Source organism: Homo sapiens, chromosome 8 (assembly GCF_000001405.40).
Source record: "Homo sapiens chromosome 8, GRCh38.p14 Primary Assembly".
Taxonomy (NCBI): domain Eukaryota; kingdom Metazoa; phylum Chordata; class Mammalia; order Primates; family Hominidae; genus Homo; species Homo sapiens.
Genome location: NC_000008.11, coordinates 40,877,839 through 40,898,914, shown reverse-complemented (window position 1 = coordinate 40,898,914; position 21,076 = coordinate 40,877,839). Strand labels below are relative to the sequence as shown.

Here is a 21,076-nt window from a genome sequence, read left to right as displayed (position 1 = left end):
AGTGGCTGCATTAATTCACATTCTCACCAGCAATGTAGGAGGGTTCATTCTCTTTTCTTCACATCCTTGCCAGCATTTGTTATTGCCTGTCTTTTGGATAAAAGCCATTTTAACTAGGGTGAGACTTTATGATTTCTTGGTGAACAAGGAAAAGTGTTTAAGCTGTCCCCACCCTTTGATGGGTATGTTCTCTCTTCACGTGCGTAGGTTGTTGATGAAAGTCTAAGCGATTAATTTAAGCCATGTCAGAATAAACCAAAGTGAGGGTCCCAGCAGAATCATTCACTCTAGAATGCTCGGCTTTCTGGACCTCCCAGTGAGAACAGTGAGAAACTCCAGAGTTTTATGGATTTTAAGAATAGCTCTTCTGAGACTCTTTGGACAGGGTGCAAAGGAAAATTGTCTCCTCAGGTTGGGGGATGAGGGGGACTGTGAGATAAAGTACTGATAGATAAACTCCAGGTATGCACCTACTATGCTCCCCAAGCAATCTGCCATGTCCTTCACATGTCCTCCAGGGTGGCCCTGTGAAAAGCATTACTCCATCCCTTCAGCCCTCAACCTTGCTCGGCTTTCTAGAGTCTGTCTCATGCCGGCAGACACCCCATAGTTATTATTCTCTCTGCCCTCAGCAACATTTACCAGTTAGGGGGAAAATAAAGCCAGAAAATTGTTGCTATGGGCTCTGTTTTGTGGAAGTTAAAATGCTAGAGCAAGAATCTGATTGCTTGATAGCTCCATCTCTCTCTCTCTCTCCCTCCTACCCTCCTACCCCCCCACAGTTTCTCCTTCTTTTCCTCTCCCCTCCACCTCCTTCCCCCACCCCGCTCCCCCACATTTTCCTACTCCTCTCCCCTCTCTCCACTGGCCTCCCGGTCCTGCCCCCACATTGGGCTGGAGGAGAGCCTTACAGGTTGTCAATGAAACATGGAATTATTTCCTTTGATGGCTTAGATAATAGTAGGAGCCAAAGCAATGAGTGAGGTCGGCTGAAACCAATGCAGTCCTGCCCGGGACTGGAGAGCCAATCGCAAGAGCAGAGGGCGGGGCGTCGGAGCCAGCAGATAATTGCTAAGTGCATCGCTAGCACAGTTGGTCCGAGCTGCCGAAAGGTCTGGTCGCAGAGACAGGAACGTGTAATCCTCAGCGTGCTCCAGCCCACAGCTTCGCTCTACTGCTCGGCAGGGCAGCTGGCCTCTGGGCACCGGCGGCCCCTCTGCCTCGCGGAAAAGGTACCTCTGCCTGCGTCCCGGGGGTGCAGCGCCTGCGTCTCCATTGCCAGTGGCTTTGCAGTTTAGCCTAGGTGGAGGGATTGCAGAAAGAAAAGTTTCTGGGAGGGAATGTGATAAAGGTGGGAAATCACTGTCTTTTGTTGGGAGGAAAACAAGCGGACAATTTGGGAAACTTCTGCGCTGGCAAGAAATGGGCTTGTTTACTACTCCTAATTAGCTGCGCTCAGGTCTGTCTAAATAGGTCTGGTCTCAGGCTAGGGTGTCTGCAGGGCTGGGGTGGAGATTCGGGTGTGCTGGGTGAAAGAAGTTGGATCCCAGGGTGTGCTGTTTCCTGGTGCACCCATCATGGATAGGCTGGTTCCGAGAGAAACGTGATTGGTTGTTTGTGTTTTCCGCTATAGGGTCTGTCCCCTTCGTATTACCTTGATCTGCCTTCCCCAAACTATTGTGACCTTCAACTGGAGTCCTTCCTCAAACTTCTGCCTCCTTCCTGCCTGTCTCAGTTCATTTTATTTGGTGGAAGGAGACATTCCCCGGGGTGGGTGGGTGAGGATGGTCTATTCTGTTTGACCTGGTGGGCACCTACGTGACAACTTGGTGACACGCCAGCAAAACAGTTCTCAGAGGAGAGGAAATCACATAATTAATTAGCTCCCGAAAACTCTGGAAGACTTTCCAGGCTTGGGGTATCCTGAAAAAAAAAAAAAAAGAAAAAGCCAAAAAACGGGATAGAGAGTTCGGTTTGGTACCATGTGAAGCTTACACCCTTGTCCCCAGAAGGGGTGCCTGGCCCGGAGCATCCCCGCAGCTCTGGGAGGTGGAGGCTGGTGGAGGGGGTGGCTCCGTGTAGGTGCGCAGGTTGTTTTGGTGCACAGGTGCATTTGTGGCAGAGGTGGTGCTGAAGTCACCATCCACACTGCTTCTGCTAACTGCTCTTGAAGTAAAACAGCTCACCCCGGCAGGCAGCTGGTTCAGCCCAGAAGCACCCTTGAGCATTCTAAATCGCGAGACCTCAGGGGCCTCTCTTGCTCTGAGACCCTTGGGAAACTCCTTTCTCCCCCTGCCTCCTCCGCCTTTGGCTTCTGCTAAAGGGAGATATTAGGTAGGTGAGTCACTAGGAAGCAGGGACCCATGGGGAAGCAGGCGATGTGCTTGGTCTCGAACTTTCTTCCTCTTCTGCGAAGGCAGCTTCTGCTTGTGTGCCCACCGCACTTCACCAGTTGCGCTGCCTACCTGCGGGATACTCTGAAGCTGATAGTCTGGGGGTGATCTTCCAAGTCCTAGGGGCATTGAAGAGTTTAGATGATTTTCATCCCTCTGATTTCCGTTAAACCCGCAGCTGGGGAGTTCGATTCCCAGTCCTGACAAGACTGCATGTTCTGGGAGGGATTCTCCAGTGACACCTCTTCCTCAGGGCACCCTTCCACGGAGATGCAGATGACAGTCTTGATTCTCCAGCTCCACAAATCCCTTCCACTTTTTAATTCTTATTTTCTTTAACCACCACAACAGATTCTCCTCCACCTCCTGTAGGCAGCTATTTTGGGTGGGAACTGTGATTATTGAAACTCTATTCACAATGGTTAAAAAAATGCCTGCCCACTTTTTTTTTGGGGGGGGTGTCAAAATACCATCAGCGTTCTCTTCTGTACTTCCTATCTGACAGTAAACAAAACAATTTTGCAGCCCTGCCAATTATAATCTTTTTGTGTTTGGGGGGCCTGGAGCGGAAGCTGAACTTTTCCCAGCCGGTGGGCATGGTTAGTCATGGACGTCGTCCTCTGTGGCCTCTCCAGGGCACGTGACCCCCAGGGAGCCCAGGAGGGGCAGCCCCCAGCACGTGGGGGATCTTGCATGAGAGCACCTTGGTTTTCATGAAGGCAGTAAGGAAACCAGAAAATGCTTTTGAGTTTGAGGATTGCAAAACTGGGGGTTCCCTTTAATTGATGCCAATCTGTTGGATTTCTATCGTGATAGGAAACATTAAAAGTAAGGCATTTGAAACAGCTCCTGAAGGGTGAGTCATGCACAGAGGGAAGAGGCAGTGTGGGGGGAGGGGGCGGAGGGGGCCTTGGAAAGTACAAGTGGGACACGCTGGAGCGCTCGCTTTCCTTCCCTCTGCCTCCTCCTCAATCCTCTTTCTTGTATTTCCCCATTCGGAACAGAGATCATTAAAATAACAACTTTAGACCAAAAAAGGATCCTAGGAGCTGAAAAATAATTGACAAAGTGCAAAACACCCTCATTACAGCTTCACCTTGGATGGGGTGAGGTGTGAAACCCAGGACCCAGCGCCTCTGCTGCGATCCAGTTTGGAGAATCTAATTGCTGGTGTTAGGCTAATTAACTCCTTGTGAAGCTGCGTGCCTGTTTGTGTATGCAAGGACCGATGAATGCCTAGGAAATTAAATGTGTTACTTGTCATTTCATCAAACATGATGGCTTTGGCCAGGACCCTGGATAAGCACTATCCACAGACCCAGCGTTTTCTCCTCTTCCCAATTGGCCAAACTGGATCTCTCTCTCTTTTAACCACTATGGTGGGAAGGGGTTGTGTCTTTCTGCTTTTCCAAGCCCTGCGTGAGTTACCTGGCAAATAAAAGTCCTCTCCTTACCCCTCTGTCCCTCCATCCCTGTCATCCTTCTGTTATCCCTTTTCATCATAAACATATCAGTAAGTAATCTTTTGCCAACCTACTTTGATCTTGTCATTTTGTGCTGATTTTTCTGTTAAAGAAAATTGTCCCCTGAAATAAGACTGAAAACATATTAAAATTTTTATCAGAGAAGAGCCTTTTTGCCTTCTGCTTTAAAATTTAATTTTGTGCTTTTGGGGAAATCTAATAAGCACGCCTATTGTGTTCGCTGTTTTGGTAAACGCTTTTACAATGTCTTGTTTTTTTTTTCTGTGGATGTGTGAATTCCCTTCCTGTCCTAGGGGAAGGTGTGTCTGGAGATTTGAAACACTCTGGAACACCTCAGAAAGTTGAAGAGGTTGGAGCACGCTATTTCCATGTATTCAAGGTGGGGTGAAGGCTGTTTTGAAACCTAGACCCTGAAATGTATTCACCACACTCTGCTATTTTCCCTCTTCATCTTTCATTTAGGAAAATTTCATAGCCCAAATTATGACTAAATCATTCATCCTACTCACTCTCCTTCCCATGCTCGTGCCCCTTCCTCCCTTCCTCCATTCACCCTACATGTAGGGTTACCTCTCTTTCCTGGTTACTTTTTGTTTCTTCCTTCCTGTCATTTCAGGGGGCCCCAGGGTGGAGATCTAATTGTAGATGTTTTGTGCACCTCACTCCTGAAACAGTTAACCAGGGGACATCAGGAATTGTGGAATGTGATAGGAGCCTACCCTAGGGGAGCAATGAGGTAATCCTGTCCCCAAGTTCAGTTCTATGCAGACCTCACCAGAGCACCTGGAGTGGTGCAGCTGACCTGCATGAGGCAGACAGGGCAGATGCTTCGAAGCACAGTCCTGTCTGACACCTGGAGAGTCCCACCAGCCGCAAGCCCTCACTGTGCCACTGTCCTGAGGCCTGCGCCTGCTGCAGCCCCATGCGCAGAGCTGACCTTGGAAACATTAGCATGCAGGGAAATTTGCCTGCTGTGCTCTCAGTTTCTTTGCTCTTTGTTCTCACCCCTAAATCTGTTAATAGTTGGAAAGGATCAAATCTACTCATTCATACTAAGGTGTGAACAGTTAATAGTGTTGCTACTTACAGAGGTATTTACATTCTTAAAGGAAATCAAAGATGTGTGTATGTTCTCACTTATAAGTGGGAGCTAAGCATTGAGTACACATGGACATGAAGAGGGGAACAATAGGGGCCTACCTGAGGGTGGAGGGTGGGACGAGGGTAAGAATCAAAAACCTGCCTATCAGGTACTATGCTTACTACCTGGGTGATGAAATAATCTATCTGTACACCAAACCCCTGCCACGTGTAATTTATCCATTATAACAAACCTGCACATGTACCCCCGGACGTAAAATTAAAAAGTTGGAAAGAAAACAAAAGATGTGCACAGTCAAATTCCAGGCACCTGCTAGTGGGATTGGGCAGAGGCAGACTGAGTTTGGATGGGGAGCAGAGTGGGAAACGGCGGCCTTCGCTTTTTAGCTCTGGCTGGTCCTGCTCTGACCCATGCTGAAAACATGCTGCAGTGTCCCAGGGCTTTGTGATCTTACTATCTGGGCTCTGGCACTTGAGCTAGATCCCTCAGATTTGAACTTGGGCATGTGCTTATGTGCCTTTTCTGACTTTTAGTCCCCTTAGATATAGAGCCAGAGGTCAGGACTACGTTCTCACAGGCTCCTTTCCGCTCCAACCTTCTCTCTTGATTTTGCCACAGAGCCCTACATCCCACTGCAGATGCTACAGCTCTGGAAGCTCTCGGAGCCTGCAGAGCATCCTCTCGTGCGGGCCATGGTGATCAGCGATGCTTTCAGAGCTGGAATCCATGAGGGCAGCTCGGAAGATGTTGTAACAGAAGAAGCACAGGATGAGGGCTGATGTAATAACTGATTTTGGTTTAGGAGGGGATGTTATATGGAGGATGGCGACCAGCTGTTCTCCATCTCCAGCAAGGATTGAACTAGAGAAAATAGACAGAAATTGCAGCAGATGGACTTAGATTAGGTATGAGGAAGAATTTTCCATCAGCAAGAGATGTTAAAAAGGGAAGGTTGTTGAGCCTCTGTGATGATCTTTAGGAAACGGATAAGCAGGGGCTTTTAGCTGAGGCAGGAGCCACAGATCTGTGAGGAGGGAAAGGCAAGGGCCATGGAGTGCAGGCATCTGTGCCCTCTGCTGATGAGAACCCTTACCTATTTCCCTGAGCCTAGAGACCCTTCCCCTGCCCTGCACCAGCTGCCACCTGGACTGGCAGATTCTGTCTATTGCATGGGAATCATTCATCAAGTCTAATCTTTCACTTCCAGATGTGGCAGATGATGCCCAGAGAGGTAACAGGCCTTGGCGTTGTCACACAGCGAGCTGATAGCAGAGGGAGGACCAGAATCCAGGTCCTCCATGTCCCAAGTCAGTGTTATTTGCTTTGTAGTTCATTTTCTTCTTGTTTCCAAATTGAATAGACCATTTGCTTTCTCTAGGCTCCTAATTTCTCTGTAATCAAATGGCAAAGACAGGAACACCTGTGGTTAAGCAATATTTATTGAGTGCCTGTTACTAACACCATGCACTCCACTCCAGCTTCCCTGTTTATGCCGATGACTCTTTAGTTCTGGCTGAGTGGCTGGGAGGGGCTGCTGACCCATCCCTGGGGGGGCTCCTGAGTGTGGCTGTGAGGCCAGGGTGGCGGGAATGTGTTCTAGAAACCAGAGCTGAGAGGAGGGGATGGGTAGACCAGAAGAGGATGAGAAGAGAGACATGGGAGCAATGAGATACTTAATCTGAATCTTATGAAGGGAAGAAAGACTTTAGATATCTCTGCAAACTTCTCCCTGGATAAATGAAATAAGATGGGCCCATAGCATGGGATCACTCTGGGTAAGACACATCACCTGTTACCTTACGGAACGGGATGAAACATACCATGTGAGGGCGTTCAGGGAGGGTGGAGTGGTGGCCCAGTGGAGAGTGCACACCGCCACACACGTGGTGGCCTAGCTCCGGACCCAAAGGCAGGCTGTCAGTGAAGTTGGGAAGTCTCACAGTTTTGAGAATGAGGCCGTGACCAGCTGTGGAGGGTTTTGCTTTGTGTTGGTTTGAGCCAAGTAGGAAGCAAGATAAATTGGTGAACTGAGCACCACAAAATAAAACCATTCTGTGTGTAGCCCTGAGAAGAAAGAAGAAAGCACCCCAGTTAGTGATGAGCTAGGCATCAAGAGGACAGCTCAGGGTCGGCAGTGAGTGTGGGGAGGCGCGACCCTTCCATGCCCCTGGCTGGCCAGGGTGTCCCTGTGCTAACAAAGGCATCCTGGGCCTTTGTGCCCAGCACGGAGGTAGGCACTAGGGGATCTACCAGAAGGAAGAGGGGTTTTTTCTCCTGCAGGAACTGGCCCAGCGAGACCATCAGCCCCTCAGGCAGCAGGGCAGGGTGCCCTTCCAGGGATTGGCTGAGACAAGGCGTGGAGAAGCCTCAGGGGCAGAGGGCCCAGGGAACGCCAGGGGCTGGTGGGCCAGGCAGGGAGCCCAGGGTGTGAGACAGGCTCAAGCTTGGGAAGGTGCAGATGCGGGAAGAGCGGTGCGTCAGCCCAGAAAGGGAGGAAACCCAGGGACCACAGTGCCCATCTGCAGAGGGCAGAGCAGCCCACATGGCCCATGGAGAGAACCCAAGGGATACACCAGGCAGGGTGGCCAACGTGGTGACCACCATGTGTCCTTACCACTCACAATGATGTTCACTGAGATCACCACACTGTCTTCAATTTCCCCTTCCCCCTCCCCCCTCCCCCTTCCCCCTTGCTCTCCTCTCAAGTCTTCTCCTCTCCTCTCCTCTCCTCTCCTCTCCTCTCCTCTCCCCACTCTGTTGCCCAGGCTGGAGTGCAATGGTGCAATTATGGTTTACTGTAGCCTCGAACTCCTGGCCTCAAGCAATCCTCCCACCTTAGCTCCCAAAGCTCTGGGATTACAAGCACACACTGCCGCATCCAGCCCCCGCCCTCGATTTTGATGCCGCAGACATTACTGGAATATAGTCAGGTGTATTAGGTGGATAGAGTGCATCTGGGTGTAGGGTACACCATGATTCTCCTTATTTGGGGTGGGCAGAGGAGCCGCTGGGAGTGAGGAACACCTGAATGGGACCTGAGGCTTGAATAGGTACCATCAGGTGGATGGGAGGAGGGTAAGAAAGAGGGAGCCACGGTAGCAAAACTCCATCCAGCGCATGATTGGCACAATGTGTCAGTGAGATGTGGATGTTGCTGAATCTGCCCATACGAGGCATGTTTTGGGGGCAAGGGGAGGTAGGGTTGTGGGTGCCCACCAGGTAGGGAGGGAGGGGCCACTGCCACATGAAGGAGCAGAAAACTGTCAGGCAGGAAATGACATGCTCACATTTGCATCTAGGAAAAATGGTCCAGCAGTTGTGAAATGAAGAGTGGAGGTGAGGTTTGAGAGGGGCGCAAAGGGGAGAGGCCAGTTCAGAAGTAATTTGCTGCTGTCCAGGTGAGAAATGGCGAGGGCCCGCAGGAAGACAGTGGCAATGGGGAGGGGGAGGAGGGCAGCATCAGAAGCCGATACTTTGACTTCATAAGTTACACTAGATCAGGGAAAAATGAAGAGGAATTATTCATCCCCGGGAGGAGAAGCTGACAGGTGACAAAGAAAGGTCATAGTGTTAGGTGAAAGAGAGAGCAGTGTTCCCTCTGAAGATGGGATGGGAGGAAATGGGTTTAAACTATAGGAGAAGGATCCACACTGGACATTTAAATTAATGCTTCAGTGGAGGTGTTCGTGAGACGTGGGGAATGGGATCTTTCAAGGGGTTTGTGGATTCATTCTCTTTTTCAAAAAGTGTTTTTAAAAATCAGCCTTTCCCTGATAGAGAAGTGAGCAAAGAATGGGAATAGACAGTTCACATAACAAAAGAAGTAAGAAAAATATGTAAAAGAAAAGTGTCTCTCCTCACTAATAACAAAAATGTGAAATTAAAACAAGTTATCGTTATCCATTTAACAGATTAGCAGAAATTAAAAATGATAATGTAATATCCAGTGTTGCTGGGAAATGGACATTTTTAGACTTAGCTGGTGGATATGTGAAATGAGATAATTTGGAAACATAGGAGATGTGTCTCAAAAAAATATACTCTTTGAACCAGTCAGCAATTCCTCTTCTAGGAATTTATCCTAAGGAAATAGTTAGAGATGTGCAAAATAGTTCTAATTAAGAATATTCCTTTCAGCATTATTCATTACAGCAAACATTGCATGGAGGCATTAATTAAATATATTATGGTTCCTCCATAAAATGGAAATCAAGAAAACTATTAAAATTACATTGAATAATACATAAGAATATGGGAAAATGCTAATAATATATATTAAGCAAGTAAAGACTTAAAAGTAAATAGAGTATAATTGCAATTAAAACAAAAGGTGTATGTAGTCCTGAGAACTAGAGCAGAATATTATATTATCAAAATTTTCATGGTGGTTATCACTGCATTTTGGGAAACATATGACTTTTGATTTCTTTAAACTTTTTTGTGCTATCCAAATTTCCTCCAGTAAACATGTTATTTTACAAATTAGACAACATGCTTTCTAAATCAGTCATTCCAACCACAAATGTTCAAGCAGTGACTATCCATGTAGCAAAGCTGGGTGCGATGCTGTTCACTAAGATGTGAAATGCCTGCATCCTGAGTCCATTTGGTGGGAGAAGATAAACGCTCACGTGAAATGCGGCAAGTGCCGCCTGCTTTGTCAGTAAGGGCTGGACCTCTGCTGCAGCCAGGTGTGAAGTGTGCAAGATCCCTGTGCAGGGAATATCCTTGTTCCTTCCTCTTCGCTGCATTCCCACCTCCGGGCCCTGTCACCTGCAGTGGTCAGGCCTGTCTTAGCATTTCAAGGGGTGCATCACATATATCTGCTCATTTCACAAGCAGAGAAGTTGAGGCTCCGAGCAAAAGGCTGTCTTGGTCAGGGTCACAAAGTCAGTGAGTGGTTTTGTTAGGTATGAAAACAAGAAACTTTACTGCCCCACACCATGCTCTTTTCAGAGTGGGCTACTCTGGGGGTTCCATGTGCTCTAGAAGTGAGTGGTAGATTTCTGCAAGAAGGTGTGAAGCCACCCTTCCTTCCTGTCATCCTTCCTTCCCAGAAGCCATGCCTTTGGCTTAATCCACTTATTAATTAAGACCAAATGCATGTGTGGCAGCTATTCCATTTACAGCAGGGACTTTGGGTACTGCGGGCCCCCCCGAGGTGGCCCTCTGGGTCTCCTCCTGATGGAGTGTCGCATTTGTTAATGCTTTTCCAGAATGTGTTTGCTCCCTGCTGTGGTTTCCTTTGTTGCATAAACTCTGGGCAGCCTGAGACAGTCTCCACGGGGTGAAAGTCACAGTTGGCTGGCTCTGTGATGGGTGCCAGGGCCACCTGGGGGCTCTGGGGCACCTTCTCTAAGCAGTGCAGGTGACGGCTCTGATGGGCATGCCTTTGGACCGTTCACAGGCTAATTGGGAAAAGTGGACAGGCCTGCCTGAAGGTAGGGCATGACAAAGAGGAGTGGTGTAGGCTGCATGGCTGTTTGCTGCTCTGTTTATTTTAATAATAACTCATTGTGTGGTGTTTTGTATTTACAAGCCTCAGAGGTGGGTGGGGAAGGTGCTGGCATCCCCATTTTGCAGAGGGGGAAATCGATACTTGGAAAGGCAAAGCCACTCTCCTTAGTTTGTAAGGGCAGCAGGCATAATAGCCAGGCATGGAATGAGCTAGATTTTCTGTCTGCAAATACAGCCCTACCTGTCATGGAGAAGGGCTTCCTGCTGGCCTACCTGATGTTTCTGGAGAAGGAGGGGTGTGGAGTAGCACTCTGTTCGGCCCTGGCCTATGCTGAAGGAGTTAAGAGTAAGAGATGACTTTGGGTCCAAGGGTGTATTCAGCTGAGGTAGAGTGTAGGTGCTGAGAAAAGTGGATAGTGCTGAGGGTGAACACGGACTCACAGGATTCATGGAGGCAGAGGGTCCCAAGCCCTGAGCATTGAAGGATGAGGGCCTCATGGGAGGCAGGAGGGGTGTGCTGGGGACAAGTGGAGATCTGGAGCTGAGACCTGGCGTGAACTTTGTGTGGCTCCTCAGGGGCAGATTGGCTCCACAAGGGGATGGGAGGGGACAATGGCCAGAGGTGCCCCAGCATTCCAGGATCTGTCTCAGAAGTCTCTCCTGTTTATTACACCTGCAATAACATGGCTGTGAGAGGACCGAAGGGAGGGGGAGCCGAGAGGCAGGGGAAGTGGGTTGAGGGGTCTCATACCTGTTCTTTCCCCTCTGCCGTGTCTCTGGGTTTTGTTCCTGTTGAGAATGCAATTGCTCTGCGGGGTTGCAGGAAGAGAGAAAGGAAGACTGGGAGGGTTGCTCGCCTGCCAGTTCTTACCATGCTTTGGGAAACACATGACTTCTGATTTCTTTAAACTTTTTTTTTGTATTTTCCAAATTTCCTATACCAAACCACTATTTTACAAATCAGAAAACATACTTTTTTTTTTTTTTTCTGAGATGAAGTCTCGCTATGTCGCTCAGGCTGGAGTGCAGTGGTACAATCTCAGCTCACTGCAACCTCTGCCTCCTGGGTTCAAGCAATTCTCTTGTCTCAGCCTCCCGAGTAGCTGGGATTACAGGTGCCCACCATGATGCCTGGCTAATTTTTGTATTTTTAGTAGAGATGGGGTTTCACCATGTTGGCCAGGCTGGTCTTGAACTCCCAACCTCAGGTGATCCACCCTCCTCAGGCTCCCAAAGTGTTGGGATTACAGGATTACAGGCGTGAGCCACCGTGCCTGGCCAAAACCGGCTTTTTTTTTTTTTTTTTTTGAGACGGAGTCTTGCTCTGTCACCCAGGCTGGAGTGCAGTGGCATGATCTCCACTCACTGCAAGCTCCGCCTCCTGGGTTCACGCCATTCTCCCACCTCAGCCTCCCAAGTAGCTGGGACTACAGGCGCCCGCCACCACGCCAGGTTAATTTTTTGTATTTTTAGTAGAGACGGGGTTTCACCATGTTAGCCAGGTTGGTCTCGATCTCCTGACCTCGTGTTCTGCCCGCCTTGGCCTCCCAAAGTGCTGGGATTATAGGCGTGAGCCACTGCGCCCTACCTCAAAACTGGGCTTTTTAAATCAGTCATTCCAATCACAAGTGTTCAAGCAGTTACCATTCATGTAGCAAGGTTAGGATAGGAGGATTTTCGGAATGTGGGAAGAGAAAGGAGAAGTTATGAGACATCAAGAAAAATAAAAAGGAAAAAAAAGGGAGCAGAGTGGGGAGTTGTTGGAGAACCCAGGAGGGATGTTCAGAAATTCGGGAGCAGCTCATGGCACAGCAACAAGCCTGTGCGTAATCTCTTTTAAAGTTAGAGGTAGACTTTTGGTGTGATAAGACACAAACCAGAAAGAAAGAAATAGAACCTAAGGCTGCCTGCCCACTGTTTTCAGATGTTTAAGCATTTGGTCATCACCCTGGTTTTACAGATGAGAAAACCAAGACTCACCAAGGTGACACTTGTCCTGAGTGGGCGACTCCAAGCCTGTGCGCCGTCTGCTGTGCTGCACCGTCCACTCACCCTTCCTGGGCTGCAGCCAGGACTCCAAGCTGCGTGACTCTGGAGGCCTGGAGGAGCGAGGGAAGGAAGCATTTGGGGCATTGCTCTGTCTGCCTCCAGAGAAGCTGCTTCTGCATTTGCCCCTTCTGATCCCCAGGGGCCTGAAGAAGGATGCCAGCAGGGCATTCCCTGATCTGTCCCCTTTGTCTCTGGGGACTGTTTGGCTTCAGTCTCTTTAGCAAGGGACACCCTGGCTCTGGGGCTGTGTGAGCTCTGAGCCATGGCTCTGTTCTTTGATTTCTCCATGAGGCAAACAATGTGCTTCTCTTTCCCATCCTTCAGTTTCCTTAATAGGAGATATGAGCTTTTGACATGTTATGTGTTCTTTTATTCAGTGCTCAGAATGTTGGGAATTGGTAGGTACACTTCTAAACTTAGAGGATTCAGAATGGACAAAACTGACCCAGTTCCCAGCCTCTCAGAGCTTAGATTCAAGTGGGGGAGATGGACGGCAAACACATAAGCAAACCTGTGGAAGGGCCAATGAGTGCAAGGGAGAAACGTGAAGCCCCACAAGGGGAACAGGGAGTGAGAGGGTCTCACTTATACATGCCACTTAGGCAGAGACCTGAAGGCAGCGAGGGATGGTCCCCGTGGGTATTTGGGGGACGAGCAGTCCAGCCCAAGAAGACCCTGAAGCTGGAGACACTTGGGGTGCCAGGAATAGCAGCGAGGACAGGGTGTGCTTCCTTGAACCACTGGGATTTTTGAGCTGAGGAGTAACACAGTCCATGATTTAAAACGATTGCTCAGGAGGATCACTTGAGGCCAGGAGTTCGAGGCTGCAGTGAGCTATGACTGTGCCACTGCACTCCAGCCTGGGTGACAGAGCAAGACTCGTCTTAAAATAAATACATGAATAAATAAAAATGTAAAAAATGAATAAATAGGTTACTCTGGTTGCTATGTTGACAGTACAGTGGAGTGGGGCTCTGTGGAGGCAGAGGCGCCCTCGGAGGCACTGGTCCTGGCAAGAAGGGAGATGGCTCGGGTCGGATGGTAACAGCGGGGAGGGAGAGGGAGAGGGCAGATCCTGGATGTACTTTGAAGGGAGAGCTGGCAGGATTTGCTGATGGGTTGAAGGTGGGGTTTGAGAGACTAGAGGGTTCGAGGATGATTCCAAGGCTTTTGGCCTGAGATGGTGGGAAAGACTGTAGAAGGAGCAAATTAGAAATTGTGAGGAGTAGAGAGGGAGGAAACGAGTTTGTTTTGGGGGTTGCTGGAGCTCTAGTGAAATGCCCACTAGATAGTTGTGTTTTGGTCTGGAGTTCAGAGACGAGCTCTAAGCTAGACAACCCTGGGAGTGATCAGAGTTTCATGGTGTCTGTGAGATCACCTAGGGAGTGAGTGTAGACAGACAGGACGTAGAAAGGCGGATCCTGAGAATGGCAGTATTTATAGATCTAGGATGGGGTTTGCAAACTCTTTCTTAAAGAGCCAGATAGTAGATATTTTAGGCTTTGCAGACTGCACAGTGTTTACTGCAGCTACTCAGCATTGCTGCTGCAGCACGGAAGCAGCCATAGAGGACATATAAATGAAGGAGCATGGCTGTATTCCAATAAAACTTTATTTACAAAGCCGGAAACCCACCCATAGGCCATAGGTTTGCTGACCTTGGATCCAGAACACTGGAGAGGAACCAGCAATGGGGACTGAAGCAGGAGCAGCCTGGAGATTGGGGTGGACCAGGAGAGGAGGTTGCTTCAGAAACTAAGCAAAGCATTTTTGCAGAAGAAAGTAGTGATCTGCTGGGTCAAATCCTGCTGGCATAAGAAGTAAGATGAGGACTGAAAATTGCACGTGAGCAGTGTAGAGGCCGTGGATGAGCTGATGAAAGCACTTTGGTTGAGGATGAGGTGAGAGGCTCTTTGGAGTGAGTTCAAGGAGAGGCATTGGAGATAGTGCATGCAAACAGCTTCATGGAGGAGTGGAGCTGTAAAGCTGTGCAAAAAAAAAAAATGAAATGTCAACTCTAGGGATACATGGGGTGAAAGCTAGTGTTGGTTATTTAAAAATGGGAAAAGTAGCGGGATGTTTGTATTGGATGGAAATGGGCCAGTGGGCAGGGTACAAAGATGATGGGTGGGGGCGGAGGTGAGAATGGCCTTGAGTGGGTGAGGGAGTGAGGCCTGGCCTCTTGGACAGCTCTCAGGGGAAGAGGAGTCCGTAGCCAGAGGCCATGTGATGGGGTGGGTGAGGCGGGGTGGGGGACCCTCTTGGATGCCTTCATTTTTCTCAGAGAGTAGCATGGTGGATCACAAGCTTCGAGACAGGACAGCGAGGACCTCAGTCCAGCGGGTGGTGGAGACAAATGCTCCCTGCACACAGAGCGAGAGGGATGCCAGACAATGACAGAGAGTTGTGCTGCGTCTCTAAATCAAAATTAAAAGGTTTCTGCCGATGCTATCACTTGAGCTTTTCACTGCGAAAGGGGCTCTGTGAGCTCTGGAGAGTTATGACTGAATTAATAAGGCCAGGATGAGGGCATGGATCGAGATCCTCAAAAACAGTCTCATAGATTCCTACAGGCCTGGAGCTGCTGCGGAGGTAGCTCTCGTAGGATTGAATTGAAAAGAAACAAGAGTTGTTGCCCAGAGTGAGTAATAACCCTCCTCAGAAGTCAGACAGGTGGCAATAAAGAGTCCATTGGCCTGGGCTCAGGGGGAGTTAGGGGAGATCAGGGCACTTTTTTCTCTCCTCCTAAAGCTTTTTGCTTTCGAGATCTCTTGCTTTGTTTTTAAAAGTATCTTCCTATGAGGGAGGAGGCAGTGAGAGGAAGGCCACCTTCTCTAACTTTTACCTTAAGAAACTGTCTTGGAGAGAGAAGGGACTTACCTACGGTTGTGTGATTTGAATGGGAGGGTGGATCTCAGAAGGTGGGAGCTGAATCCTTTGCTGTCTTCCTCTCAGACATCCAGGAGGGAGAAGGGGAGGCAAGGAGAGGAAGAGACTTCCTGGAGAGGGGTTCGACATTCCAGGTAGTCCGGGAAGAGGGAAATGCTGGTGTGAACCATGACGAAATGGAACACCTAATGGTTCTATTTCCATGTCTACAGGAAAAGAAATAGGAAAACAGACTAGGGAACATGTGACTTGTCAGGAAGGAAACTGCCTTGGGGTTTTGGAAAAGAGAACCGTCCAAGGTCACATACCTGGAGAATGACTTTTTGTGGAGACTGCTCTGCCCAGGACTGAGGGTGGGAACTGAGGCTGAAGGGACACACAGCATTTGCTCAGGGAGCCTCAGCAAGGGTGCCAAGGGACCTGTTTATGTCAGTGCACCATCAGCACAGCCCGGAATGGCTTTGGCCTCATGATGTGCAATTGGCCCTGGGTCTGTCAATTTCTCTGAGAGGGAACTCTTCCTGTTGCAAAGGGTCCAGCACACTGGGTTCACTTAGACGGCAAGGTTGAGTGCCAGAGTGATAACGGCAATAAGGAGTTTGTGGCTCAGGATTAAGCAGGGAAGAGAACTCACACATCTTTTCTTCACATCTGACTCCCGGTGGTCTTTTTGGGATGAAATAGAGAACGTGGGAGCACAGAGCTATAGCGAACCGAAGTTGATCTAATCCAAGGTAACTCCACAGATTTCTCTCAAATAGTCCAGGAGGCTGCTCAAAGTCCCACTGTCCCCAGCTCTGAAACACCTGGTACCTGTCTCATGGGGGGGGATTAGATGGAGTGCAGGTGCCAAGCGTCTAGCGTATTGCCTGTAACATACAAAGTGTTCCAGGATTTATGGCAAGTGATAAAAGCCGCTGCTGGTGGTGGTGGTGGCAGCAGGCATGTAGGGGTTCTCTCTCCCGGTGTGCCAGGCCAGGGGGCTGGGGTGGCCAGGTCATGGGTAACCTGTGCTGCTGCTTGCTGCAGAGCTTCTGGGTTGGTAAGTAAGAAAGCTACAATACCTGTGTCCGACTTTCACAGCTCCAGCACTTCCTTCCAAATATTGCCGGCCAGGGTTTTTGCGTTCTTTGGAAGAAAGACACCGGAGAGGAACAAGGTAGCGTTGCCAGGGTAGCACCTTCAGAAAAATAAATCCTGGAAAGGAAACTCTGAAAGCTTCTAGAACCATAATATTGAGACAGATTTAAAGGGAACCCAAAATTCCTGCAATGCTTGGAAGAGCAGAAACATAGATTTCTCATACTAATCAAGTGATTTGTGGGAAAACCCTATCGATCTCTCTAACCTGAGCTGAATCAAGTGAACGATCAGCTGTGAGTTGCAGAATGAGCTCCGAGGCGGCCACAAGGCTGGTTTATGATTCTGCAGAACTTTTCTGAGGCATGAACTCCTGGACAAGCAGGTGATTTCAAAGGAAAGAAATGCCCTCCCTCCTCACCTTTCCTTCAGCTGTTGGTGCAGGGATTGATGTTGGGTGAAAGGGTGTCCTCTAATTAGGCCCTGGGCAGGCTTTCTGGGGCTCTCATCCTTCCAGGTGATTCTGCGCGCTACATGGGGGAGGTGGTGGCATGTGTCCTCAGGCTTCTGAGGAGTGGCGGTGATGGAGAGTGGCTGGCCTGACTGTGCACTTAAACACTACATTGTCTTGGGAACTGTTGGGCCGAGCTATTCCCATCTCTGTATGGAAAAAATACAATCAACTTCGCGCTGCACCTCCTACAAGGAAAAGAATGGGTGTTCTGATACCATGGGCTTTGGGGAGAGCTGTTTTTTCAAGCTGATCCATGTTATCAGTCCCCATACAGTTGCTCCTAAGTATTGCTGCTTTGACAAGGAACTGATATTATTCTTTCTTTCTCTCTCTCTTTTCTTTTCTTTTCTTTCTTTCTTTCTTTCTTTCTTTCTTTCTTTCTTTCTTTCTTTCTTTCTTTCTTTCTTTCTTTCTTTCTGTCTCTCTCTCTCCCCTTCCTTCCTTCCTCTTTCTTTCTTTCTTTCTTTCTTTCTTTCTTTCTTTCTTTCTTTCTTTCTTTCTTTCTTTCTTTCTCTCTTTCTTCTTTTTCTTCCTTTCTTTCTCTCTCTCTTTCTTTCTTTTGACAGAGTCTTGCTCTGTTGCCCAGGCTGGAGTGCAGTGGTGTCTCACAGCTCACTGAAACCTCTACCTCCTGGGCTCAGGTGATTCTCCTGCCTCAGCCTCCTCAGTAGCCAGGACCACAGGTGTGCACCACCATGCGTGGCTAATATTTTTTTGTTTCTACAAATTTTTGTAGAGATGGGGACTCGCTATGTTACTCAGGCTGATCTTGAACTCCTGGCCTCAAACGATCCTCCCAGTTCGGCCTCTCAAAGCACTGAGATTACAGTGCATCAGCAACCATGCCCAGCCAGTGAACTGGTATTTTTCAATCAAGGCTTACATAAATTCCAGAACATTCTAAGTAGTCTCAAGAGAGGTTAGACGAAACCAGTTTAAATGTTTCTTAACCTACAGGGAAGACGCTGTGTCATACTTAATGGTGTGGGGAGTTGGGCGGTTGTTTGGGTTGGGCTGAGCTGAGGAGGAGTTAGGGGGTGATGTGTGAATCTCGGCACAAGCGTAGAGTGTGAAAACATTCAACATTCTGGGGGGTGTTTTCCACACAGAAAATAAATTTACTATAGTTCAGAGAAAGAGAAATATAACAGCTAAAAATACATGGAAGGATGTTTAACTCCCTGAGTAATTAGCATAGTATCATAGTCAGGTGGGTAGCTTTGGAGCCAAGCGTGGAGTCCCGGCTCTGAAGTTAGAGGTTTGGCCTTCTGCAAGTTACTTGGTTGTACCTCGTTTCTTCCTCTCAGAATGAGGACAACATGGCCTACCTCATAGGCATTTTGTGGTGAAGGGAGATGATTCAAGGCAAGCACTTATCACCAATAAGAATTCCAACAATAACAATAATAAAAATGTTAATTAGAATGGAAATGAGTTGCCATTTTCCAGCTATAAAATTATTGAAGGTTAAAGATGACATTGCTCAGTGTCACAGAGATACAGTAAGGAACTTTAATTGGTGCCCTCTTTCTGGAAAGCGTGATTTTTTAGGATTTCTGTACTTTTTTTTTTTTTTTGAGATGGAGTTTCGCTCTTGTTGCCCAAGCTGGAGTGCAATGTCATGATCTCAGTTCACTGCAACCTCTGCCTCCCAGGTTCGAGTGATTCTCCTGCCTCAGCCTCCCGAGTAGCTGGGATTACAGGCATGTGCCACGACGCTCGGCTAATTTTTTGTATTTTTAGTAGAAATGGGGTTTCACCATGTGGGCCAGGCTGGTCTTGAACTCCTGACCTCAGGTAATCCACCCGTCTTGGCCTTCCAAAGTGCTGGGATTATAGGTGTGGGCCACCATGCCTGGCCGGATTTCTGCACCTTTTGATTTAGTTCTAGGATCCTATCCTAGGGAAATAATCAGAAATGTGGGGAAATATGCGTGCACAAAATCATTCACTGCAGTACTATCTATCTTCCTGAAAAACTGGAATCAACCTCCCCAGCAGTGGAGAACTAGTTAAGTAAACTAGTTCGGTACGTCCATACAATGGAGTATTAGGCTACCATATACAATTATTTGAAGCAGGTTAATGATGTGAGACAATGCTCATAAAGCTGAAAGTGAAATATCTTCAAACTGGCTAATGGAATATGTCTATGTGCATAAATGTAAATAAAATACGCCAAAATGCTAATAGAGATTCTCTCTGGATGGTAAGATGATTGATGATTTTTGTTTTCTTCTTTATATATTTTTTTGCGGTTTTCAAATATTTTACAGTGAGTCTTTATTCATTTTTATAACACAAATAATAAAAATTACAGAAAGAAAATGAGACCCAGTTGCCTCTGAGTCGTTCCCCTTTTTAGGAAGTGAGTGTTTTACTATGGATCCGTCCTGGCATGGATTTCCTAGAAGCCCATCAGAAGGCTTTGTGTGGAACCGTTTTTTACTCCTCCCTGATTCACATGGAAATAACAAATGTTTTGGGGATGGAAACAAACGTTTATTTCATTTTTATTTTTTAAGAGACAGGGTCTCACTTTGTTGCCCAGGCTGGAGTGCAGTGGTGTGATCACAGCTCACTGCAGACTGGAAGTCCTGGGTTCAAGGGCTCCCTCTGCCTCAGCCTCCTGAGTAGCTGGGACTACAGGTGAGAGCCACCATGCCTGGCTAATTTTTTAAATTTTTTGTAGAGCTCGGGTCTGGCCACGTTGCTCAGGATGGTCTTGAACTCCTAGGGTCAGGTGATCCTCCTGTCTTGGCCTCCCAAAGTGTTGGGATTGTAGGTACGCACCACCATACTCGGCTGAAACAAATATTTTGGAACAAAGAGGTAGACATGGGTGTGCTGTGGAGACAGCATCAGGCACAGTGCATTGCCTGTCCTCGTTTGCATGCTGCCCTGAACTTCATTAGCTTCCAGGAAGCCACAGACAGGGTAGACTCCCCAAGTGCTAGTCAGTAGCAAAGCCACAGCCAGAATGGAAATCAGCTGCCCTCTCTTCTTTAGAATTGTCATTGGAAAGCCAGGAAGCAGTTTCTTAAAACAAAAAAGCAGCCCTGCCCACTCAATGCTAATAGAACATGGGGCTGGAGATGCCTGGGATGCTGGAAAAACACTCAGCAGAGACGATGGGCCCAGAGGAGGGGGCATCTCCCAGGAAACAGGCCTCCGAGGCCAGAGCTGCATCTCTGGTTTCTCTCACCTGCCGCACCTTGCGTGGCGAGAACGGTGCCATGGGAAGGAAATGTTTGTAAATTCTGTGGTACATTGAGTGCACCAGGGGAACGGGCTACTTAACAGAGATAATTTTCTTATACAACAAATATATTTTGAGGATATGTAGCATGTCAGGTCTTGGGCTATGTGCTAGACATTCCCTGCTGAGTATAAAATAGAGGCCTTGGCCTGTGTGGAGTGAACCCATTTTTCTAAGTTGGACAACTTACTTCTGATATATCTGGTTTCAAATCAGAATTTTTAAATGTATTGGTTTTACTGAAAATAGGACACACTTGCTTTAGATCTGTGAAATATTGTAGAAATAGTGTTTTTTTTCTTTTAGTGCAGATGTCCCCAGTGTTCTATAAGTTTAAATATTTTTGTTTAATTCATTCTTAACACCATCATCTGTGAGATGGGGCAAGGAGGGGGAGCCACCTGACTTCAAGTGAGGACTGGGGGGACAGGTTTTGGCCCTAACTTTGCCCCTTCTGAAATGTTTCAGGCCACCCCTCGACTTCCGTTCAATGATACTGGCTTTCATGATTGACGGTTGACCACTGGCCACTTGGAGGCCCTTTGCTGAGGAGCCGCTATATGTTTTCTGCCATTGGAAGCCATTCATTCATTCATTGTAGAGCTTTTTTAAGGCTTGAAAATTCAGTGGCTATTGTGTTATTCTTTCATTACTCTGGGTGCCAGAATGAGCTCCCTAAAATCCTCGGAGGCTCCAGGTTTGGTTTAGCAAATGTAAATTATGACTTCTGTATGGATGCAGCTTTCCACTGTTCAGTGTGTCGGGACTTGGGTTCCCTCTCCCTGCTTTTGGAATGCGCCCAGGTGTTTTGCTTCTTTTAAAGATCTGACATGACCGTGGCCAGCTCTA

The 21,076-nt window shown here is 48.0% G+C and overlaps 1 protein-coding gene across 3 annotated transcripts in view; it reads left to right on the top strand.

The window, feature by feature from the left end:
- Positions 1-1,088: 1,088 nt before the first annotated feature.
- ZMAT4 (zinc finger matrin-type 4) overlaps positions 1,089-21,076 on the top strand; it is a 367,237-nt gene continuing 347,249 nt past the window's right edge. For all 3 annotated transcript variants that reach the window (NM_001135731.2, NM_024645.3, XM_017013836.3), the window contains exon 1: positions 1,089-1,232. The gene's annotated coding sequence lies outside the window, so the exon portion shown is untranslated. The remainder of the gene's footprint in view (positions 1,233-21,076) is intronic.